Genomic DNA, 24,812 nt, shown 5'->3' with positions numbered 1-24,812 from the left:
TTGCCCAGGCTGGTCTCAAAATCCTGGCCTCAAGTGATCTGCCTGCCTCAGCCTCCCAAAATGCTGGGATTACAGGTGTGAGCCACTGCACCCAGCCTCCCCACATATTTCTAATAATGTGTTTCAGTACTTTTTCTTGACTCTTTCCCCCTGTTTTAGACATTATCTATTGCCTTCCTACTAATGAAGTTTCCTTGTACATGAAGAGGCACAGGGAAATTCACCCTGAAGTTGGCTCCCTGGTGTAATGAGTATTTTGACTTAAAAATTCTTCAAGATAAATATACTGGAAGAGACTTCTCCCTGATCTAGGTAAAGACCTGATGGACCCACCAAGGAGAACTGTTGTCCCCCGCACCCCCTCTCGCTTCTCAATCCTCTGTCTCTCCCCAAGCACAGGATGAAGTTGTTGTCTGCAGTTCCTTTATGTTGCGGGAAGTCAGGGACCCCGAATGGAGGGACCGGCTGGAGCTGTGGCAGAGGAACATAAATTGTGAAGATTTCATGGACATTTGTCAGTTCCCAAATAATACTCTTATAATTTCTTACACCTGTCTTACTTTAATCTCTTAATCCTGTTGTCTTCGTAAGCTGAGGATGTACGTCACCTCAGGACCACTGTTGTGTTAACTGCACCAATTGATTGTAAAACATGTGTGTTTGAACAATATGAAATCAGTGCACCTTGAAAAAGAACAGAATAACAGCGATTTTCAGGGAACAAGGGAAGACAACCATAAGGTCTGACTGCCTGTGGGGTCGGGCAAAATAGAGCCATATTTTTCTTCTTGCAGAGAGCCTATAAATGGATGTGCAAGTAGGGAAGATATTGCTAAAATCTTTTCCTAACAAGGATTAATACTCTGGGAAAGAAATGCATTCCTGGGGGAAGGTCTATAAATGGCCGCTCTGAGAATGTCTGTCTTATGCAGTTGAGATAAGGACTGAAATACGTCCTGGTCTCCTGCAGCACCCTCAGCCTTACTAGGGTGGGGGGAAACCCCGCCCTGGTAAATTTGAGGTCAGACCAGTTCTCTGCTCTCGAACCCTGTTTTCTGTTGTTTAAGATGTTTATCAAGACAATACGTGCACTGCTGAACATAGACCCTTATCAGTAATTTTGCTTTTGCTCTTTGCCTTGTGATCTTTGCTTTTGCCTTTTGCTTTGTGATCTTTGTTCTCCTTTTTGCCCTTTGAAGCATGTGATCTTTGTGACCTACTCCCTGTTCTTGCACCCCCTCCGCTTTTGAAATCCTTAATAAAACTTGCTGGCTTTAAGGCTCAAGTGGGCATCACGGTCCTACCGATATGTGATGTCACCCCCGGAGGCCCAGCTGTAAAATTCCTCTCTTTGTACTCTTTCTCTTTATTTCTCAGCTGGCCGACACTTATGGAAAATAGAAAGAACCTATGTTGAAATATTGGGAGCTGGTTCCCCCGATACCTTTACCTGCCTAAACTCCGAACCCACCAAAGAATAAAGCAATGATCTTTGGTCTCCTCCCTGGGTTTTCATTCACTGAACTCATATTGCAAGAACAAAGCCTGAAGTCCGCCAACACACCTGGACAGACTTGTCATGAACCATTGTCTGCTCTTCAGGCCCTACAGAATTTGTCCCAGGCCATTGTATGTTCTTCAAATCCTGTATTCCAGGGTTCTCCAGCCCCTGGACCATGGACTGGTACTGGTCCATGGCTTGTTAGGAACTGGGCCAGACAGCAGGAGGTGAGTGGTGCGCGAGCCAGCAAAGCTTCATCTGTATTTACAGCTGCTCCTCGTTGCTCACGTTACTGCCTGAGCTCTGCCTCCTGTCGGGTCAGCAGTGGCATTAGATTCTCATAGGAGCATGAGCCCTATTGTGAACTGCGCATATGAGGGATCTAGGCTGTGTACTCCTTATGAGAATCTAATGCCTGATGATCTGTCACTGTCTCCCATCTCCCCCATATAGGACCATCTAGTTGCAAGAAAACAAGCTCAGGGCTCCTACATGATGGTGAGTTGTACAATTATTTCATTATATATTACAATGTAATAATAATAGAAATAAAGTGCACAGTAAATGTAATGAGCTTGAATCATCCCCAAATTATCCCCATCCCCTGTCCACGAAATTGGTCCCTGGTGCCAAAAAGGTTGGGGATCGCTGCTGTATTCCCCTAAAAATCATTTATTATCCTCCTAAAATCATCCATATTTCCCTATCTCCCTTTCCTCTAAGAAGTAGGGTACGTAAGCATTTGTACCCCATTGAGTATCAAATTTGTATGCCATTTCTCCTATTTAAAGAACAATTGTAGGCCAGGCATGGTGGCTCATGCCTGTAATCCTGGCACTTTGGGAGGCCAAGGTGGGTGGATCACTTGAGCTCAGGAGTTTGAGACTAGCCTGGCCAACATGGTGAAACCCCGTCTCTACTAAAAATACAAAAGTTAGTGTGGCAGGCGCCTGTAGTCCCAGCTACTTGGGAAGCTGAAGCAAAAGAATTGCTTTAACCTGGGAGGTGGAGGTTGCAGTGAGCGGAGATCGTGCCACTGCACTCCAGCCTGGGCAACAGAGTGAGACTCCACCTCAAAAAAAACCAAAATAAAACAAACAAACAAAAAAAAAAACAAATAAAAAAAACCAATTGTAGAGATGGGGTATTGTTATGTTGCCCAGGCTGGTCTCAAACTCCTGGCCTCAGGCCATCTTCCCTCCTTGGCCTCCACTACACCAGGCCTCCATTTCTATCAGTCTGCTTTTTGTGAGCTGATTTTTCAGCAAACATTCAGAGGGCAAAGGGGAAGTCTCCCCATGGTCCATATAGGCACCTTCTTTCATCCCCCTCCCCATCTTCCCAATATTTTAATATATAGATAAATCAATGCTTACATTATCACGATCAGGTAAGTATTCTTCATAGCTGAGCCATGGTGTTTTCTGTACTAGGCTCCAACAGACCAACCCAAAGTAGAGTCACTCATGCTGTTTCCACGTCATGAAGCTAAAACCTAAGCTGTTTACTTGTCTCCTGAAATAATTGCCTTCTATTTTGTTTGATTGTTTACTCAGTTTCCTACATACCTAACAATAATCAGTTTCAAAACTATCCAACAAAACTTTAAAACTCTTCTTTCTTTTTTTTTTTTTAAGATGGAGTCTCGCTCTGTTGCCCAGGCTGGAGTGCAGTGGTGCGATCTCGGCTCACTGCAGCCTCCACCTCCCAGGTTCAAGCAATTCTCCTGGCTTAGCCTCCCAAATAGTTGGGAGCTTTAGGTGCCTGCCACCACGCCCAGCTAATTTGTGTATTTTTAGTAGAGACAGGGTTTTGCCATGTTGGCCAGGCTGGTCTTGAACTCCTGCCCTCAAATGATCCACCCACCTTGGCCTCCCAAAGGGCAGGGATTACAGGCGTGAGCCACTGTGCCCAGTAAAACTCTTCTTTTTACTCACTGTGCAAGGCACTTAATTTTGTTTTAAACCTATAATCCATATCCTATCATTTGGAGACATTTTCTTGAATAACTTATTTGATGATTTTTTTTCCTGCATTTTTTTTGGGGGGGGATCTTGTTTTATTTGGACCTTGTACCAAATGTCTTCTGTTTCCTTTTCTAGAACTTTCCCCCTCTCTGCCCTCCTTTTTTTTGGTGTCCTCTTCAATTTCCATCATCAGTGTTTTATAGTTTTTATTATAGAAATATTTCACTTCTTTGGTTAGTTAATTCCCTGGTGTTTAATTTTATTTGTGGCTGTTGTAATGGGATTACATTTTAAATTTATTTTTCCGATTGTTTGCTATTGGCAAATAGAAATCCTACTGATTTTTGCATGTTAATTTTGTATCTTGCAACTTTACTGATCAGTTTTAATAGTTTTCTCGTGGAGTTAATTATATTATCTCTGTATTTTTAGGTCTGTTGGAAAATTTAGATGATAAGTTTTTAAAAAGACTGAGGAATATCTGCTTTTGACAGTGGCAGACTAGGTTGTTTTAGGCTGAACTTCCAATGTGAACAAAAAACAATGGAATACACACACACCCACGTACACACATGCACACATGCACATGCACACACACTACATGCATGCACCCACACACACGCATGCACACATATGCATGCACACACACATACACGCATGTACACATGCACACACACACACACAGAGGGAAATCCAGAGAGGAGAGCCTGGCATCGGTCCCTCCTTTTACTTGGGGGTGATTTTAATTCAAAAGTAGGCTGGGTCCGGTGGCTCATGCCTGTAATCCCAGCACTCTGGGAGGCCGAGGCAGGCAGATCACCTGAGTTCAGGAGTTCGAGACCAGCCTGCCCAACATGGCAAAACCCCGCCTCTTCTAAAAATACAAAAAATTAGCTGGGCATCGTGGCGGGCGCCTGTAATCCCAGCTACTTGGGAGGCTGAGACAGGAGAATCACTTGAACCTGGGAGGTGGAGGTTGCGGTGAGCAGAGATCACACCAGTGCACTCCAGCTTGGGCGACAAGAGTGAAACTCCATCTCAAAAAACAAAAAAACAAAAAACCCCACAGAAGTAGTGGTTTGAAAGAGTGAAGCTGAGCAAAGATTTATCAGATGCTTGGGGCTGGAAGAGAAAAAATTAGATTTCAAGGCCCATCCAGGAGGGTCCTGGTAAGTATCCCAGACTTTCGTGGCGCCCTGAAGAACCACACTCCAGTAGCGAAGACTGAACAGAAATAACCCAGCTCTTAGAAAGAACCATGGCCACCACCAAATCTTTTAAGTCCTTGACTGGGTTAGGACCTGGGTTCCTAAACAAAACTCCAAGGCACCGCAGGACGCCCAGTGAGCTCACAGGGTGCAGTGGGATGTTTGAAAATTTTGAGGAGTCTGGCCTGGCGGCCTGCAGTCCCAGCCACGTGGGAGGTTGAGGTGGGAGGATCACTTGAGCCCCCAGGAATTTGAGGTCAGCCTGGGCTGCATAGCAACACCTTGTCTCTAAAAAAAATTTAATTTAATTTAAAAAATCTTTTTTTTTGAGGGAAGAACATTAACCTCTGTCAGACATAACATGAACTTCTTTTTTAAACTTATTATCTATTTATTTATTTGTGTTGATTTTTCATTATTTCTTCAGAACAGAATGAACTCCTATCTTGAGGTAGTTCCCAGTGTCAACTAAGATTGTGGGACTGTCCTCTGAATGACTTCGTGTCTTTGCAGAGCTTCGCTTCCAGCAGTCGCTGTGATAGAGACTTTGAGCTACGTGGAGATCCGTGTGGAGCTGGAAGTGAAGATGATGGCGTCCAATCCACCTCCAAGGCTTAAAAAGTTGTGCAGCGCCCAACGGACACCACATTCCATTGGGAAGTGATTATGGTAGTATGGTAGTTTAAGAATGAAACAAAATATTTTTAATTTATGGGGATCATTTTTTGAATGTCTACTAAGTTGTTAGAATATGAATACTTCAGTTGTTTGTACTTAACTGTCTAATACATGGAACCTCTATCTATTTCTTTTGGCCTAGGAGGGCCGTGAAAAAATTAGGGGGACACTCAAGGTGTTGTCACTGGAGACAGTTTGGGAGCCCCTGGATTATGATGATCAGAGATTGCTTGCTACCTTCTAGCAGCAAAAAGAAATCCTGCTGGGCATGGTGGCTCACGCCTATAGTCCCAGCACTTTGGGAGGCTGAGGCCAGTGGATCACTTGAGGTCAGGAGTTGGAGACCAGCCTGGCCAACATGGTGAAACCCCATCTCTACTAAAAATACAAAAATTAGCTGGATGTGGTGGCTTGTGCCTGTAATCCCAGCTACTGGGGAGGCTGAGGCAGGAGAATGGCTTGAACTCAGGAGTTGGAGGTTGCAGTGAGCCGAGATCACACCACTGCACTCCAGCCTGGGCAACAGAGCAAGACTCCGTCTCAAAAAAAAAAATTCCTTTCTGGATAAAAATAACAGTTCAGAGTCTCAAATTATCTCTATCATTTTCCACACACAGTGCTTGGCAGTCAATAAATGGGCTCTGGAGTAAGAAAAAGACAAGACAGGGGTGAAAACCTGGGAGAAAAATCAGACAATCAGACAATAGAAACAGACCCACGAGGATCCTGATCATGGAATTATCCATGATGAATGCGATCAAGGATGAAAAGGCAAGATTAAGAATTTTTGGCAGAGAACTGGAAAGTATAAAAAAAGAACCAAGTGGAAATTCTGTGAAAAGTGAAAAGTACAGAAACTGAAAATACCGCTGGTGGGTCTGATAGCAGGAAATGTACAAATGAAAGGCATAGAAGAAAATAGTCTGGACAGAAGCACAGAGAGACAAGAGGGGGGAATCGCAGGGTAGAGTTTAAAGAAAATATGGGATAGAATGAAAAGAGCAAACATACCTATAATTGGGGTCACAAAACAGGAGGAGAAAAAATGTGGCAGAAGCAATATTTAAAAACTGAGAGTTCACCAACACTGACAAAAGGCATTCAGGTGTAGATATAATCATCCTTACAAACTCCGCCAGGGAACCTCCTGAGAAAAGAAGCCCCTGCCGTTACTGAGGTGATGGTTATGATCCATTATATTCTCCCTCCCCACACCTGCGCCCTGTGCTTTTGTTGCCCTTAGTACACTTTGCCCTTTTTTTTCTTTTTTTTTTGATGGAGACTCACTCTGTTGCCCAGGCTGGAGTGCAGGAGCGATCTCGGCTCACTGCAACCTCTGCCTCCCGGGTTCAAGCAATTCCCCTGCTTCAGCCTCCCAAGTAGCTGGGACTACAGGCACACGCCGCCACGCCTGGCTAATTTTTTGTATTTTAGTAGAGATAGGGTTTCACCATGTTGGCCAGGATGGTCTCGATTTCCTGACCTTGTGATCTGCCCGCCTCAGCCTCCCAAAGTGCTGGGATTATGGGCGTGAGACACCACGCTTGGCCACTTTGTCCTCATATTTATTTATTTTTTGTACTTCTTAAAAATTTTTTTAATTAAAAAAAAAATAGAGACAGGGTCTTTCTATGTTGCCCAGACTAGTTTTGAACTCCTGGGCTCAAGTGATCCTCCTGCCTTGGCATCCCAAAGTGCTGGGACTACAGACATGAGCCTGTCCTCATATTTACTGATGAGTGTATTAGTGCTATAATGATATGTAGCAAATAACTCCAAAACATATTGGCTTAAAACCACATAATTACTTATCATGTGCCATGGTGTCCTTGGTTTAGGTGTCAGGAGAGGTTTAGCTGGGTGGTTCTGGCCTCTCAGGAGGCTGCAGCTGGGCCAGCTGTCAACCAGGGAGGCGGTTCACTGAAGGCTGAGCTGGGCCTTGTAGGTCCTCTTCCAAGGTGGCAAGTTGGTGCTGGCGATCGACAGGAGGCCTCAGTTTCCCTTCGCAAGGGTCTTGCCATGGGGCTGCTTGCATGTCTTCGTGGTGTGGCAGCCAGCTTCCTCCAGAACGAGTGAGCCTGGAGTCAGAGGCAGAGGCCAGGATGCCTTTGTGACCTTGATGTGAAGGTCACACACTAGCATGTCTACCGAGTTGTGTTGGTCACATAGGTCAGTCTTTTTTTTGAGACGGTCTTGCTTGATTGCCCAGGCTAGAGTGCAGCTAGATCAGCTAGGGGCTTGATCATGGCTCACTGCAGCCTTGACCTCTCAGGCTCAAGGGATCCTCCCGTCTCAGTCTTCCAAGTAACTGGGACCACAGGCATGCGCCACCATGCTTGGCTACTTAATTTTTTTTTTTTTTTTTAGAGATAGGGTCTTGCTCTATGGCCCAGGCTGGCTTTGAATTTATTTTTATATTATTGTGGTAAAATATATATCACAAACCATGCCATGCTAATCCTTTTCAGATGTGCAATTCAGTGGTGTGAATTATATTCACAATGTACAACCATCACTACATCTACTTCCAAAACCTTCCCACCACTCCATGTAGAAACTCTGTATCCATTAATCAATAACTCCCATTCCCCCATCTCTCCCCATCCCTGGTAGCCCCTAATCTGCTTTCTGTCTCTGTGAATTCTGCCTATTCTAGGAACCTCATTTAAGTAGAATCCTGTGGTTTTTGTCCTTTAGTGCCTGTGTTATTTCACTCAACATAATGTTTCCGAAGTTCCTCCATGTTGTAACATGTGTCAGCATTTTGTTCCTTTTCATAGCTGAGTGCTATTCCATTGTATGGACATACCACATCTCCTCCATCCATTCATCGGTTGATAGGCCAGCCCCACATCAACAAGAGATGCAACTCCATGGGGTTGTGAACATCACCAGGATGTGGGGCTCACTGGGGGCCATCCTAGGGGACGGCTGCCCTAGTAGATTTTGTGTTCAAAGCCAAGTCTCCACTAGAATTTCACCTTCACGGGGTCAAGAACCCAGTCTGCATTTTTACCCCAGTTCGCAGCAGAGGGCCTGACATGAAGCAGATGTGCAGTTGAGGAGGCAGCCCACTCACTGGGGAGCTGCAGAGGGAGACGGTGCTGGTTGCTGGGGTCCAGGAAGCTTCTGGAATGAAGGAACAACAGAACTAGGTAAATTTGACTTGAGTGACAATTTGACTTTTGGGGACAAGATGAGAATGTGACCAAAGTCAGCATATGTAGAGATGGAAAGGACCCCAGAGATCATCCAGGCCAACACCCTTGTTACGTTTCAGGTAAAGAGGTGCGTCCATTTCCTGGGGCTGCCGTGGCAAAGTGCCGCTCACCGGGTGGCTTCGTGCACTTGAAATGTGCTCTCACACAGCTCTGGAGGCCAGAGGCCTGAGATCAAGGTGTTGGCAGGGTTGCTTCCTTCTACAGCCACCCAGGCTACGGCTGGGCCAGCTGTCAGCCAGGGAGGCGGCCACCTGAAGGCTGAGCTGGGCCTGGTGTGTCCTCTTCCAAGGTGGCAAGTGGTGCTGGGATTATCTAGCCCAGGCCTCCCTCCCGGCTTCTGGTGGCCTGATGGGCATCTTCCATGTTCCTTGGCCTGTGGAAACATCACTCCAGTCTCTGCCTCCACCGTCACATGTGTCTCTTCATCTCTCTTATAAGGACACTAGTCATATTGGGTTAGAGGTCCACACTGCTCCAGTATGACCTCATCTTAATTTAACTAATTACATCTGCAACAACTCTATATTTTCCGTTTTTTTTTTTTTTTTTTTTTTTTTTTTTGAGACAGAGTCTCATTCTTTCACCTAGGCCGGAGTGCAGTGGTACAATCTTGGCTCACTGCAACCTCCGCCTCCTGGGTTCAAGCAATTCTCGTGCCTCAGCATCCTGAATAGCTGGGACTATAGGCGTGCACCACCATGCCCGGCTAATTTTTATACTTTTTAGTAGAGTTGGGGTTTCACCATGTTGGCCAGGATGGTCTTGAATTACTGGCCTCAATTGATCTGCCTGCCTCAGTCTCCCAAAGTGCTAGGATTACAGGTGTGAGCCACCGCCTGTATTTTCCCCTTCCTCACTCCCTTCTTTCCTTCCTTCCTTCCTTTCTCTCCCTCTTTCTCTCTCTCTCTCCCTCTCCCTCTCCCTCTCTCTCTCTCTCTCTCCTTTCTTTGATGGAGTCTTGCTCTGTCACCCAGGCTGGAGTGCAATGGTGTGATCTTGGCTCACTGCCACCTCCGCCTCCTGGGTTCAAGTGATTCTCCTACCTCAGCCTCCTGATAGCTGGGATTACAGGCACCTGCTACCACACACAGCTAATTTTTGTAGTTTTAGTAGAGATAGGGTTTCACCATGTTGGCCAGGCTGGTCTTGAACTCCTGACCTTAGGTGATCCGCCCGCCTTCGCCTCCCAAAGTGCTGGGATTACAGGTATGAGCCACCATGCCTGGTCTATATTTTCAAAGAAGGTCACATTCTGAGGTACTGGGGGGTAGGACTTCAACATATCTTTTTTTGGGGGAAACACAGTTCAAGCCATAAGAAAGAGAATGTGCCCTGTTTAAATCTCACAGCTAATTCATCAGGTCTTTGGAAGACCCAGGACTCACTTCTGTCTGCCTCTGATGTCTAATTAATACCAAATTCTCTTCCTTATTCATGAAATTCTAGCAGGGTCTGGCTTCTCTGCCATTCCTGTGTACCTATTATTCAGAAAAAGTAAGGCTCGCGTGGCAGATGGAAAGAAAGATCAGCCAGTTGTCACTGTAGTGTGTTGTTTTCTGCAAGACAGCCATAGGTGCCACAAACAAGGAGACAAAACAGTTGCTTAAGAAAAATGCAGCTCTGACAGCCCTGCCAACGAGCCCTCTGGCTTTACGTAGACATTTCCACTCCATGGCACCCGGAGAGTGTTAATGGATCTGTGTGTTGCTGCGCTGAACCCTGGCAAGGGCGACGGTTTCTCAGACAAAGAAGGTGGCTGCAGTGTCAGCCAAGAGATTGCAAATCTGCAAAGTCGGAAATGCTGAAGGATGCTGGGTCAGCCATCCCGAGAGATGCGTGTCCACACGGCAGGTGGCTGGATGTGGGGTCAGGGCAGGCTCACAGCCTGACCAGGAGAGTTTGTTTCTTGTTTGAGCCAGACGGTAGGGTTACTTAGATGTCTGCTCTGCACTGGGCGTTTGTGTGACAGGGACGAGGGGCAGGCTGGCTTCAGGAACATGTGACTGTGCAGTCACAGCCACACAGGGACTGGTGCGTGGAAGGGCCCTGAGCTGGCTTTGATCCTCTGCTGTCACTGTCTTCATGATATTCGAAGAAGGGGCTTGCATTTTCATTTTGTACTTGGCCCTGCAAATTATATAGTAGGTCCTGACAAGGCCTCTGTCTTGGTTTCCTGTCCTCATTGCTTGATTATTTGTGAGGCAGGCGGTGCCTCTGACAGTCTTAAGCCCATGCTTTGATGTCTCAGAGAACCCATAGCCAGAGGAAGACACGAGGCTGGAGGTCAGGACCCCCATAGGCTTGAGTTTCAACATTGCCAGCAACTTTAGTAGCTACAAGATCTTGGGCAGGGCATTTAGCCTGTGTGGGACTCAGTTTCTTCATCTGTAAAAAGGACATGCTAATAACAGCCCTACCAAACTCACAGAATTGCTATGAGAGTTACTTCTTGAGAGTAAGGACTCAACTTCTCCATTTTGTACCTGTGTGAAATTCCGCCCAGCATCCTGCATTTAGGAACAGTGCCTACTTGATGATTTAAAACATGAGATAATGGGGGAAACCTCTCAGGCAAAGCATCAGAAATGATGGACTGGCATTATGTTTTCTCATAACACGCTGACGTCTTGTGCAAATCTGCCATCTGGACACTGCTGCTAAGAGGGAGACAGAGCCTGCTCACTTTGGGACATGTCCTTGAAAGCGTCCCGCTGTGGGTACATGGAACGCTGAGACATCCTACATGAGCGCTCTCCTCTGTCGCTGAACTTTAACTATCCAGCCCATCCCTTGGAGTGGCATCATGTTTGTCATAGCAGTGACCACCTTTGTGAATGCAAACCATGTGTGAGAGTTTATTTCATTCTCATCACAGCCCTATTATTCTTACTCCATTTGACAGATGAGGCTCTGTCTCAGGGGACCTGTTCCCATCCCACAGCCGAGAGGTGGCAGAGTCAAGGCTGGAACCCGGGTCTGTCTGGTAGCACAGTCTGGAGTCCTGTGACCTGGGCTGGACACGCCTCTGTGAAGTGTGCTCCCTGGGCTTGGCTCTCACTAGGGGTGTTCACTAGGGGTCACTCAGCAAGTTTGCCTAAGATGGCCAGTTTCTTGGGTTTTAGCCTCCCACGTTTCTAGAGGCTTCTTAGAGACTGCCAGTAACTGTGCCATCCCCTCGGAGGGTCTAGGAAGCCTCATCATTTGTTTGTTATTTGGGTAACAGCTTGATTGAGATATAATTCACATGCCATACAATGAAGTCATTTAAAGTGTACAATTTACTGGTTCTTACTGTATTTGGAGTTGTGCAAGTATGACCTCGTTTCATTTTAGAACATTTTCATCACCCCAAAGAGAAACCTCATGCCTATCACAGTCTCTCCCCATTCCCCTCGCCGTGCAACCACGAATCTACTTTTTTCTCTGTGGATTTGCTAATTCAGAATCCTTCATATCAACGGTTCACACAATATGGGGCCTTCTATGTCTGGTGTCTTTTGTAGCATAACGTCGTCAGCGTTCATCTATGCCGTTGTGCGTGTCAGCACTTCCTTCCTCTCTAAGGCCGAATCACGTTCTGTCGCATGGATGGACCACATTTCGTTTATCCAGTCATCAGTTGATGGACTTGGGGCTATGATGAATCGTGCTGCCATGAACATTTGTGTACTGGTTTTGATGTGGATATGCATTTTCGTTTATGATTCATTTTTATATGATTGCTTTCTAGAAGCCAAATATGGTCTCTGGAGGACTCTCATGGAAGACGCTGAGTAAACCAGAAACAAGTTTGGGCTCAAGTTTCTTGTCTGTAAGACAGGTCTGGGAAGAGCAGTGTGTGTGTGTTTGTGTGTGTGTTTCTGTGTATGTGCATGGAGAGGACAGGTGTGTGTCTTTCTGTTTGTCCAGTGGGGCAAGGGTTGGGGGGGTGTCTAGTCAGGAGGGGAGCTGGAGAGGCACTCACAACAGAAGGAAACTCTTGGAGGAGGAGTGATGGATAGTCGACCCCTCTCCTCTCCTCTCTCACCTCCTTTTTGCTGAGCTGGTGAAAGCTACAGGTGAGGAGGGTTTAAGGGAATTTGAGCACAGGCCTCAGCTTGGCCCAGTTTGACTTGGAAAGAGGATGTGGAATCACCCATCAGTAGGTCAGCCAGCAGGGATTGCCTCCCTGTTGCCCCCATGGTCCTATTTCAACAGCAGTCTGGAATGGCCCCTGAATCTATAGAGTGTGGCGCTGCTGCCAGAGACCTCCCCTGGAGAGCAGGAAGATGTAATGGTTCCATCTTTCACCGTCCGCCATGTTTCAGGATGACAGACATATCTGGCTCTTATAGGAGTGATTCTAATTTGGTGAAAATCATCTGGATTCTTCAAACACAGCTTGGCACCGTGGAAGGAGGAAAAGCTGTGAGGTTGGACAGGCCTGACTCAAGCCCTGGATCAGTCACTCATTAGTGCCCATTAGCATGACTCTTAGTAGGTCACTTACCCTCTGTAAGCCTCATTCTTTTCATCTGTCAAGTGAGGATAATGGTTCTTATTGGTAGGATTGTTGAGGGCACCAGATGATGAGCACTAACTGCTTGTAGAGTCAACAGTCAATGAATGGTCACTGGTTATGGTAGAAAAATGCTGAGTGGCCGGGCATGGTGGCTCATACCTGTAATCCCAGAACTTTGGGAGGTTAAAGCGGGTGGATTGTTTGAGCCCAGGAGTTTGAGACCAGCCTGGGCAACATGGCAAAACCCTGTCTCTACAAAAAATAGAAAAAATAGCTGGGCATGGTGGTACTTGCCAGTAGTCCCAGCTGCTTGGGAGCTGAGGTGGGAGGATCACCTGAGCCTGAGGAGATTGAGGCTGCGGTGAGCCGTGATGGTGCCACTGCACTCCAGTGTACAGAGAGAGACCCTGTCTCAGAAAAAAAAAAGACAATGCCGAGGGACCTGCTTAAGACACACCTGCTCTGCTGGGTCAGTCTCACCTGACCTGTGGGCAGAAGGCAGAGAATGAGGTTTCTTCTGCTTTTCAATGGACACATCTCTTCCACCGGTGATCCTTCCGCTGCATCTCCATAAACCCGTGCATCTCCAGGGGACTCTGCATTTTAACTTGATGAGGTTTAGTAAGTTTTATTGCATGTCTGAGCCACATTTGATTTGTTTACAAATAGTTATCAGCACATACTGACCCATTTTCTAGGCCTGCCTCTCTCATGGGTATAGAGAAGGCAAAGTATTGGAAAGGTGTATATGCAAACGCTCTTCACAAATGGATTTGAGACTGGGGGAAAAATTGACTCAAGGGTCTGCCGATGTGGGTTTCAGTTTTGATGTCACTACTATTTTTTTATTTTTACTTTTTTATTTTTATTTTTTTTGAGATGGAGTCTCACTTGTTGCCCAGGCTGGAGTGCAGTGGTGCAATCTCAGCTCACTGCAACCTCCTCTTCCCAGGTTCAAGCAATTCTCCTGCCTCAGCTTCCTGAGTAGTTGGGATTACAGGCATGCACCACCATGTCCAGCTAACTTTTATATTTTTAGTAGAGGCTGGGTTTCACCTTGCTGGCCAGGCTGGTCTCGAACTCCTGACGACCTCAGGTGATCTGCCTGCCTTGGCCTCCCAAAATGCTGGGATTACAGGTGTGAGCCACTGTGCCCGGCCGCTGCTGCTATTTCAGGAAAGTCAAGCAATCTTTGAATCATAGTTTCCTTGCATTGGTAAAATAAGGGAGTTGAATTAAGTGGTTTTTAAGATCCCTCACCAGTCCTAACTCTCTAGAAGAATTCAGGGTGACTTTTTGGTGCAGGCAGTCCTCTGCTGCACAGGTCCACATCTGTCTTCCTTCCACAGAGGGTGGGACACACAGCCTGGCATATGGGACACACTGTTTAGACCTCCCGATTTCAGGTCTTAATTACTCAGTGTTCACATTTTCCTTCCACTGTTGGCTTTCTCTCCACATATGATGAAACTCCATGGTCAGCACTGGAAGAGGCGAGAGGCGTTTTCATCTGGATGTGGGTGAAGGGTGGACAAGGTAACAGCACTGGGAAACTTTTTCTCCTTCTCATTGAGCACAGTGTGAATGTCTATGTCACTTCATTTGCTTTTAATTTCTATTAAGGAAATTTTAAACATACGCAAAGGTAGAGAGAAGAGTGTGATGAATGTCAAATACTCATTGCCCAACTTGAAGAGTTATTAACATTTTCCCACCTTGTCTCTTGTCCATCTTGTCAGCCATCTATCCTCCTCTTCCAACACACTTTATTTTTATTTACTTTTATTTCATTTCATTTCAATTTCTTTTCTTTTCTTTTCTTTTTTTTTTGAGATGAATTTTCACTCTTGTTGCCCAGGCTGGAGTGCAATGGCGTGTTCTCGGCTCACTGCAACTTCCGCCTCCCGGGTTCAGGTGATTCTTCTGCTTCATCCTCCCAAGTAGCTGGGATTACAGGTGTCTGCCATTACTCCAGGCTAATTTTTTTTTTTTTTTTGTATTTTTAGTAGAGACAGGGTTTCACTCTATTGGCCAGACTGGTCTCGAACTCCTGACCTCAGGTGATCCACCGGCCTAGGCCTCCCAAAGTGCTGGGATTACACGCGTGAGCCACCGTGCCCAAGCTGATTCCATTTTCTTTTATTGCAAACCTTAGGCATCTTATCAGTTCACCTGTAGTTCAGGATATATCTCCAATGAACATATATTATAAAATATATGTCTGTTATATAATATATACTTTATATAACCATATAAATATAGTATATATACATTATATAATGTAGAATGTCAGATACATTATAACTCTAATGTCATTATTACTCCTAACAAATTTAACAGTGTTATTTGTACCCAGTCCATATTCAAACTTCACTGGGGTGTTTTAAAAACTGTCCAAATTGTGAAGAATTGGTTGGCCTATCCAATTATTTATTCATCCATTCATTCATTCAACTGATACTATGACGTCTTTAACTTGGCCAGGTCTTACAGGAGCTCATTTTTGTATAGGGAAGACAAACAAATTCACAATTGTAAAATAGTGGGATAAATGCAGAGTAGAGTTTGGTACAAGGCATGACCATGTCACAAAGAAGGGCACAATCAGTTCTGTGGGAGGTTGGGGGGGTGCGGTCATGGAGGGCTTCAAGCAGGATGAGGATCATGGGCTGAAGTTGGAAGCCTGGCCAGGTGCTGGGAGCGGGCGATGGAGGAAGAATGCGCTAGAGAAAGTGTGGGAAACGTGTGGGCACTTAGCACCGTGAAATAGCACCAGGCAATGTCTGCTTAACTAATATGATGCCAGGTGCTTTTCTGAGTCAGTGAACAAAATTGACAGAAATCCCTAACCTGGCAGAGCTTATATTCTTGTGGGGGAGGACTGACAATAACATAATAAATGAATATATACAGCATGTCAAAAATAAGGGCTATGGAAAAGAAAAACACAGACAAACAAGGGACGGGGTGAAGAGGGCTGGGGTGTTTCGCAAGTTAACACAGGATGGTTAGGGTAGGGTGGCAGAAAATGAACAGGGGCTCACAGTTCCCTTTTTCCTTCCTTTGCACACAAGGTCATGTTTCTCAGCCTTCTGCACCGTTAGACTGGGACAATCGGCCTGGGGTCTGGTGAATAGAATGTAGATGGAAGTAATGCATGCCACGTCCAGGCCTGGGCGTCATGTCCTGAGTGTTCTTTCTCCTCCCTCCACCATGACCTCGGCTGTCACATACTGGAGATGAGATAACACAGCCCAGCTCCCAGAGTCACCAGTTAAGAACTGCATTACAGGCCGGGCGTGGTGGCTAACGCCTGTAATCCCAGCACTTTAGGAGGCCAAGGCAGGTGGATCACCTGAGATCAGGAGTTCGAGACCAGCCTGACCAATGTGGTGAAACCCTGTCTCTACTAAAAATACAAAAATTAGCTGGGCATGGTGGCGCACACCTGTAATCCCAGCTACTCAGGAGGCTGAGGCAGGAGAATCGCTGGAAGCTGGGAGGCAGGGGTTGCGGTGAGCTGAGATTGTGCCACAGCACTCCAGCCAGGCGACACAGAGTGAGACTCAGTCTCAAAAAAAAAAAAAAAAAAAAAAAAAGAGAGAACTGCATTACAAACCCTGAGTGTGAAGCTAACGTACACATCAAAGTTGCTGTCTACCCTCCTACCAATATCTGCCCACTCTATGACCCTCTTTCCATCTTTTCTTCTCTGTGTGTGTGTGTTTAAGGAGTTAACATCTTCAATATATAAAGAGTTCATAAAAATCAACAAGAAAAATATTAACCCTCTGTAAGAAAAATGAGTAAAGAACTTACAAAGTTGGCCAGGTGCAGTGGCTCATTCCTGTAATCCCAGCACTTTGGGAGGCTGAGGCGGGCAGATCACGAGGTCAGGAGATCAAGACCATCCTGGCTAACATGGTGAAAACTCGTCTCTACTAAAAGTACAAAAAAGATTAGCTGGGTGTGGTGGTGGGTGCCTGTAGTCCCAGCTACTCAGGAGGCTGAGACAGGAGAATCTCTTGAACCCGGGAGGCGGAGGTTGCAGTGAGCCGACATCCCACCACTGCACTCCAGCCTGGGCGACAGAGTGAGAGTCTGTCTCAAAAAAGAACTTACAAAGTAAAACAACATATAGACGTAATAGAAATATCCAAAAAACTCTATATATGTTCTACAGTTTCAAGTAAATAGAATCATAGAAGTCAGAAATCAGTACATAGAAAAACTGTGACTTCATTATTAATGAAATGCTACCACCAAATACATTTTTTTGCAAGCTGGCTATGTTTTTGAAATGAATATATGCAGTATTGCTGAGGCTGCAATGAAATACTTCCTACACATTGCTGATGAAAGCATGCATTGGTAAAACCTTTCTGGAAGAAAAGTTAGCAATATTTTCTAATAATTTTTAAGAGCCTTAAACACGTTTCTGCTTGGTGCAATGGCTCATGCCTGTAATCCTTGTGCTTTGGGAGGCCAAGTTGGAAGGATCGCTTGAGGCCAGGAGTTCAAGACCAGCCTGGGCAACATAGCAAGACACTATCTCTACCAAAAAAAAAAAAATTAGCCAGGCATGGTGGTGTGCACCTGTAGTCCTAGCTACTCTAGAGGCTGAGGTGGGAGGATTGCTTGAGCCCAGGAGATGGAGGCTGCAATGAGTTGTGACTGCGCCACTGCACTCCAGCCTTGGTGACAGAGCAAAACCCTGTCTCAAAAAGACAAATAACCAACAACAACAAACAACCTGTTCCTGCCTTTTGACCTCATTGATAAGACTTTCAGGAGTTTAAATAAGCAGAGATGTATTCAACAATCTATGCATACAACAACAGATTTCCATAAGTTTTTAAAGAAATCGAAGTATCTTTATACTTTTGGCTGAGATAAAAAATTCACATTTTTCCAGTTGGCATGTGTTACTTTTATCATTAACAACTCATTACAAGTCTTTAAAAGACTGTTTTCTTTTTCTTCTACTGTGTTTTGTAGCTTCTTCTCAGAGCCAGGACAATGAGGACAGGCTGAGGGATGTCAGACCATAGCCTTGTCTCCCGCGGGCCAGGCAGAGCATCCCAGGACACCCACCTTCACAGTGAGCACTGTCCTTCATGAACAATTCACCGATTAACAACCTCGGGCCCCAGGAAGTTACACTGTGCCCAAGTTCTTCCGGAGGCCACAACAATAAATCCAAGCCACCGCTAATGTTATTTATAAGCTGTGGGATTAAAACAGAAAAAAATCAATTAATTAAGATTAGCCCTTTATCGAGACTGTTAGCATCTTACTTTCTCAGAACCGAGACCATGTAAGTGACCAATTCTTCTCTAAGAGAATGAAAGAGTTTGCCATTTTTACTGTAATAAAAGGTTTTCACTCAGATGGATTCAAAATGGTCTTAGTCTAAGAGATAAAGCCTAAAAGAATGCTTTATTCTCTAAGAAAAACCACCTCTTATATCACAATGGTCAAGCTATGCCAGTAAGCTGAGTCTCAGTTTCTACGTTTATAAAATGAGAAAAATACTACTTGCTCCACAGGGCCATTGTGAAGATGAAATGGGAGAACACAAGGCAAAGACCTGATGCAGGGCCTAGGACATGGAAGTCCCCAGCAAAGATTTCCTCCTTCCTTGGGACAAGGCAGTACTGAACAGTACAGAAAGGAGAATGAAAAGTAGGAAGAAGAAATTAAGATCTTGAAGCAGTCACACAAAACAGAATCCCAAAGTAATATAACCAAAAGGGATTTAGGTGTGTTTTACAGAAAATGTTTAAGAGGGATGATTGGAAAGTATTATGTAGATATATTTGTGTATGATATGCTTCTGCAATAGATACAGTCAGAATTTGGAATCAGAATTTCTGGGCTCCAGGAATTACTATTTTAATTTTTTCTACCAAAGTTTAGTTTCTTCTACTCCAGAATTTCATACAAATCGAATCATATGACCGGGCATGGTAGCTCACACCTAAAATCCTGGCACTTTGGGAGGCCAAGACAGGAGGGATTGCTTGCACCTAGGAGTTCGAGACCAGCCTAGGCAACATAATGAGACCCTGTCTCTACAAAAACATTAGCCTGGCATGGTGGCATGCATTTGTACTCCCAGCTACTTGGGAAGCTGAAGCGGGAGGATCACTTGAGCCCGAGAGGTTGAGGCTGCAGTGAGCTGTGATTGCACCACTGCACTCCAGCCTGGGCAACAAGGCAAGACCCTGTATAAAAAAAAAAGAGAGAGAGAGAGAGAGAAATTATAAAGCATAAAGTGTGAAATCTTTTGCATAAGGCCTCTTTTACCAGCATGGTGATTTTGCAATTCATCCGTGTTATTGCATGTACCAGTGGGTGGCTCTTTCTATTGCTGAGACGTATTTCATTGCATGGATATACCACAATTTGTTTATCCCCAATGGACATTTGGGCTCTTTCCAGTATTTGGAAATTATAGATAAATAGATAAAACTGCTACTAATATTTTTGTTCAAGTCTTTTTGTGAACCAGACTTTTTTTACTTTAATAGATAAGTCATGTTACCTTTAAATTGTCATCATTTCCATATGTTTAATAGCTGGTGAGGCTGTGCATTTTTCCCTCTGATGATAATCCCATTTCTTGAGTGCTGGCTATAGTGACAGGTGCTCTAATTTGTCCTCATGAGAATCCTGCAAAGTGGATGTAATCATATCTATATTAGTCTGTTTTCACACTGCTGATAAAGTCATGCCTCAGACTGGGCAATTTACAAAGGAAACAGGCTTAATTGGACTTACAGTTCGACGTGACTGGGGAAGCCTCACAATCATGGCAGAAGGCAAGGAGGAGCAAGTCACATCTCAACATGGATGGCAGCAGGCAAAGAGAGAGAGCTTGTGCAGGGGAACTGCTCTTTTTAAAGCCATCAGATCTCGTGAGACTTATTCACTATCACAAGAACAGCACGAGAAAGCCCCGCCCCCATGATTCAATTACCACTGGGTCCCTCCCACAACACGTGGAAATTGAAGATGAGATTTGGGTGGGGACACAGCCAAACCATATAAATATCCATTTTCCATAAGAAGGGAGAGGCACAGGCTCATCAAGCAAGTTGGGTGTGTGGACTCTGAATTATTACTGAAGCTGGGCTCACTCTAGGCCACACTGTGGCTCCCTTGGGCTGTGACAATGGCTCCTGAGCAAACCAGTTGAACTCATCCTTTGCTCACTTCCTGGAAAGGCATCTAGACCTGCACATTATACATTTCTACCAATTTTAATCATTTGCAGTTAGATTGGTGATATATTTTTCTCAATTCTGTTGTTTTCCTTTAATACATCTTTTGCTATATTTTGTTGCATAAACATTTATTTATTCAGACCCAACTATTTTGTCTGATGACAAGCTCAATTTTTCAAGAGCCAGAAATTTATCTTTGCTCCACTGCTAGAATAAATCTGCAGTTCTGCTTTCTTATTTTTAATGTTTTTTGTGTTTTGCTTTCTGACATATTGGATATGCAGCCACATACCTATGGGAAGTATCTGCTCAATAAATCGCAAAATGGAAATGTGACTTCTGTTTTATACCTGGGAAATAGATGCCAAGATAATCGAACCTGTTTCCTGAAGCTGTATGGGAAGGCCAGTAGGGGAACTTGATTCTTAGTTCACTGTTTTTAGCCCTCAGCAGGGTCTACCTTGGCCCCTGACCACCCCTAGAGGAGGAGCTGTGTTCACCACACTCCGCTTAGAATGGAGCTCTCTGAGAGAAGTGCTGAGAATTACAGAGCATGGGTTCCGGTGCAGGCTTCATTCTTCCTCCTTCTTTACTTCTCTCCTACTTTCTTTCAAGTTTAAAGTTTTAACGATTTCTAAAGTCAACAAAGGACAAACACGCTCAGAGCTGGAAGGAACCTCATAGTCATTCATCCTTTTATCTGGCAAACACTGGCTGAGCTAGGTCTTGTGGGGCCCCAGTCTAGAAAGGCTAGGTCCAGTCCGAATCTATTGAGGGAAATGGACATCGAGACAGAAGGAGAGTAAGGGGATAGAGATTCCTCCAGGGATTAGGGCTGGGGCCCTGGGGCTTCACTCACCCCAACCAACCAGGGGGGCCAAGAAGTGTGCCCTGAGGAGGTGGGGCCCGGGCCAGGCTGGAGGCTGAGCCTCGGGGTCTGGGTGTTGGGTGGAGTGAGCTAGCACAGGAAAACTCCTCCATCCCCCAGGGACACAGCCCCAGGCCAGGCAGGGAGATGAGAAAGGGCCAGTGGGGCGGGTGAGCTTAGGAGCAGTCACTGGAGCTCTTCCCTCTAGGGAGGCGGGGCGGGAAGATGATGCAGGGAGGATGGGAAGGATGCAGGGAGGATGGGAAGGATGCAGGGAGGATGGGAAGGATGCAGGGAGGATGGGAAGGATGCAGGGAGGATGGGAAAGATGCAGGGAGGATGGGAAGATGATGCAGGGAGGATGGGAAGGCCATGTGGGCCTCTCATCTTGCACAGAAGCTCACGGTTCTCCTGGGTAGGGGGAGGGGAGTGGCGTGGCTTACGCCTGGGCTGTAGGAAGAACATTCTGGCTACAGAGGGGAGGGTAAGTTTGAGGAAAATATGGAGAAATGGACATGATTTGAACCATAATAGCTACAGATGTTAAGGCCCAAACTAGGGTAACAGTAAGAATGAAGAGAATAATTGTTTAGGAAGTAAAATCAGCAGGACTTGGGGATAGATTCAGTAATGTGGAGGGGGGTAGAAAGCAAGAGTGAATCCCACACGGGATAGGATGCTGGGGGGGCCTTCTGAGTAAGGAAATGGGAGAAAGTTGCAAATTTGGGGGAAAGATGATTATTTCTATTTTTGACATTCAAGTTTCAGGGTGACTGCAGGCCACGAGGTGGTGACCTCCAAAAGGGAGCTGGATCTTAGAGGGGACGTCTCATCCTGAGATGCATCCTGGGAGCCATCAGCAAATGTGTGGAGGTTCAGTCAGTTGACGTTTGAATTATCCCAGGAGAGTGAGGAGGGGAAGGAGAGAGGGCCAAAGACAGACCCTTCCCTAAGGAGGGGGCAAATGAAAGAAGTGGGAGACTTAGAAGACAGTCTAAGATGTGGGAGGAAAGCAAGAGAGACCACGGAACCTCGTGCAATCGCCCGTTACCCAGAGAGCTGCACGCAGCCGTGACAGGAGGAAAGAGGACTGCAAGCAGGACTGTTTCAGGGAGTGGGGCGTGGCGGGGTGGAGCACAGTTCAGATTGCAGGCAACTGAGTCACAAATAAGAGAAGCTGGAGGTGTAGACCAGAGCGTAGACTTTTAAGAGGTTCGAACAAAAAGCGGAGGAAAGATGATGGGGTGATGACTCTGGAGGGTTAAGGTTGGTCAAGAGCTGAGCCACCTGAAGAGCAGGGCCTGGAGCTGGAGGGGAAGGCCGGTGAGACAGGATCCGGGGAGAGGCTCAGTCAGGGCTGACTCAGGCGGCTGGGAGCTGAGCCCGGGTGGGCTGGCTGTTGACACATTGCAGGCTCGGAGGGGTGGGGGGTACTCGATGACTCAGCGTTCTCAGCTGATCCGGAGGGAGAGCGGCAGAGATGAGGGTGCGTGTGTGGAGGGTGAGATGGCTCCAGGCATGAGTGGGAGAAGCTGAGCCAGGAAAAAGACCAGGCAGTGGCGTGGGCACTGCCACTCACCTCCCTGGGCTGCAGTCCTCACAGCTGCGTGATGGGTAGAGAGGCAGAGAAGGGAGATGGTAGTGTGGTTGGTGCAAACCTCTGTCCTCAAACTCTTATGAGCAAGGAATAACAATCACACAGATAAAAGTGCAGCACCTACTCTTCTACCAGGACTTATTCTCAATATTTTGCATAATACCCACTTAAGCTACACAGGCTGGTGCTAGTAGTATACCACTTTGTGGATGAGAAAATGGCACAGGGAGATTCAGAAGCTTGCCCAAAGCCACCAGCTCCTAGATGGAGGAGCCATGGTACAAACTCAGGCTGGCCAGCCCCAGAGCCCACGCACTGTGCCATCGTGCTGCCTTCCTTCACTTTTTTTTATTTTTAAATTATTGTTATTATTATTATTATTATTTTGAGGCAGAGTCTTACTCTGTTGCCCGGGCTGGAGTGCAGTGGCTCACTGCAACCTCTGCCTCCAGGGTTCAAGCAATTCTCCTGCCTCAGCCTCCCGAGTAGCTGGGATTACAGGTGTGTGCCGCCACACCTGGCTAGTTTTAGTAGAGACGGGGTTTCACCCTGTTGGTCTTAAATTCCTGACCTCAGATGATCCACCCGCCTTGGCCTCCCAAAGTGCTGGGGTTACAGGTGTGAGCCACCGTGCCCAGCGAGCTCTCCTTCATTTTTCTTACTGAACTGGTCTAAATGCCGACTTTGGTCCCCATTCCATTAGGTGGCAGGAGGTTGACCTCAAATGAGTCAGGCCTTCTTCCTGGACCTCCCTGTGGATGCCTCTAGCCTCCTTTCCCACGGCTACAGCTGAGTCCCAGAAAACTTGCTGAGGGCCAGGCCCCCGGGGTGGGGGATGTTTTCAGGGAGAGGGGGATGAGTGTGTACTGGTGGGGGGCCCATGGTGTGCTGAGACATTCTCTACCCCTGCAGGCCTCAGCTGTGGCCTCCTCACCCCTGACTGCAGGTTCTGGCAGTAGAGTTGAGCTCCCTTGCGCCCCTCTTGGTGCTCTGTGAACGTTTCCCTCTTCCGCTGCCTTCCCTGGAGTTCTGGAAGCTCTTACCCTTGCTGCCTCACCCTGTGCGCAGGCCACATCAGCTGCCCCGGCCCTTCACTGAGCTGGGCAAAGGGGGCGCTGTCTTGCTACCTTCCCGGGATGAACCTGGGAACAGGCCTCTGTTCACCTCTGTTGTGGGATTCTTTCATCGTATTTGGGATTTCTAGCATGATGCTCCCTGAACACCCTTTTAAGTCAGGGTTAAATTAAAAGTTCTGGGCAAAGAAAAAAGATTTGTGATCTCTCAGGCCCACTCTCAGCCTAAATAGGCTGTCCTTTGCCACAGTGGAGCCACAGGCTGCTCTTGGCTCCCTGCTGCTGCCTGGCTCTGGGAGGCCTGGAAAGGCCCTGAGCCTCTTGCACGCTCAGAGGCAGAGTGGTCTGAGGACGGCAGCTCAGGCTGCAGAACTTCCAGGGGCCTGAGGTGGCAGCTCTGGGGCTGGGCACTCCTGGAATAACAGCCAGACCTCGGCTCCCGGGAACCTGGCCTGACCTAGAGAGCAGGCCGCCATCTCTGCAGGCACAGAAGGGGCCCTGGAGGCCATCAGGGCAGATGCCTGGAGATGGGGGTCAGTGGGGGTGTGTGTGTGGACAGAACACTACCTGGTGACTGTGAATCCAAGCCTCCACCTTCTTCACAATCGGCAGATATTCTAGAACCTAGTAGAATCTCAGGCCTGATAGGATCTGTCCTGGTTCTGGAATGTTTAAGTTGTTCTAGTGAAAGGTATCTCAATTCAGAGGTACCCGAATTAGAGGTACCCACTTATGGGTGGGTAAATTACTGCAAGAGAAGGCAAGTCCCCTGTGTCCCACCCTGTCTGACAGTGCCACCTGCAGTCCCAACCCCGGCGCCCCAACTCTCACCCAGCCTGTGCTCTCTGCAGGGGATGGAGCCACAGAGCACTCTGCTCTGGGAGGGCAGGGGCAAGGTCACGAGACCGCAGGGCTGGGCCTTCGGCGCTCGACAGGTTCCAAGCACCCACACCTGACCTGCTGACCAGA

At 46.6% G+C, this 24,812-nt stretch overlaps 2 long non-coding RNA genes across 5 annotated transcripts, besides 2 other annotated features; one reads left to right on the top strand and one right to left on the bottom strand.

Moving 5' to 3' along the window:
* Positions 5,209-5,369: a silencer, noted in NCBI's record as "fragment chr2:9269636-9269796 (GRCh37/hg19 assembly coordinates)". NCBI's record gives its function as "represses an EF-1alpha promoter that drives an FKBP-Casp9 reporter gene in an ReSE screen in phorbol 12-myristate 13-acetate-treated (for megakaryocytic differentiation) K562 erythroleukemia cells {active_cell/tissue: K562(+PMA)}" and the evidence as "EXISTENCE:reporter gene assay evidence [ECO:0000049][PMID:32094911]".
* LOC105373415 (uncharacterized) lies at positions 7,733-19,110 on the top strand. 2 transcript variants are annotated; one of them, XR_922770.1, is made up of 4 exons: positions 7,733-8,509; positions 14,559-14,612; positions 18,075-18,177; positions 18,626-19,110. It is a non-coding gene; the product is annotated as an uncharacterized LOC105373415 (long non-coding RNA). The 2 variants fall into 2 exon arrangements; XR_007086202.1 differs by lacking the exon at positions 18,626-19,110 and having other exon boundaries at positions 18,075-18,617.
* Positions 17,201-24,462, bottom strand: LOC105373416 (uncharacterized). 3 transcript variants are annotated; one of them, XR_922772.4, is made up of 3 exons: positions 24,411-24,462; positions 19,624-19,751; positions 17,201-18,303 (listed from the first exon to the last, which is right to left on the bottom strand). It is a non-coding gene; the product is annotated as an uncharacterized LOC105373416 (long non-coding RNA). The 3 variants fall into 3 exon arrangements; XR_922771.3 differs by lacking the exon at positions 24,411-24,462 and adding an exon at positions 23,705-24,391; XR_922773.4 differs by lacking the exon at positions 24,411-24,462 and adding an exon at positions 22,461-22,993.
* Positions 22,117-22,644: an enhancer, noted in NCBI's record as "H3K4me1 hESC enhancer chr2:9252361-9252888 (GRCh37/hg19 assembly coordinates)". NCBI's record gives its function as "activates a minimal SCP1, AML or CMV promoter by ChIP-STARR-seq in naive H9 embryonic stem cells {active_cell/tissue: H9 hESC(naive)}" and the evidence as "EXISTENCE:reporter gene assay evidence [ECO:0000049][PMID:30033119]".
* Positions 24,463-24,812: the final 350 nt, after the last annotated feature.

The sequence above is a fragment of the Homo sapiens genome, chromosome 2 (genome assembly GCF_000001405.40).
Source record: "Homo sapiens chromosome 2, GRCh38.p14 Primary Assembly".
NCBI lineage: Eukaryota > Metazoa > Chordata > Mammalia > Primates > Hominidae > Homo > Homo sapiens.
The sequence above is the reverse complement of the archived record's forward strand: the minus strand, read 5'-3'. Positions and strand labels throughout refer to the sequence as shown.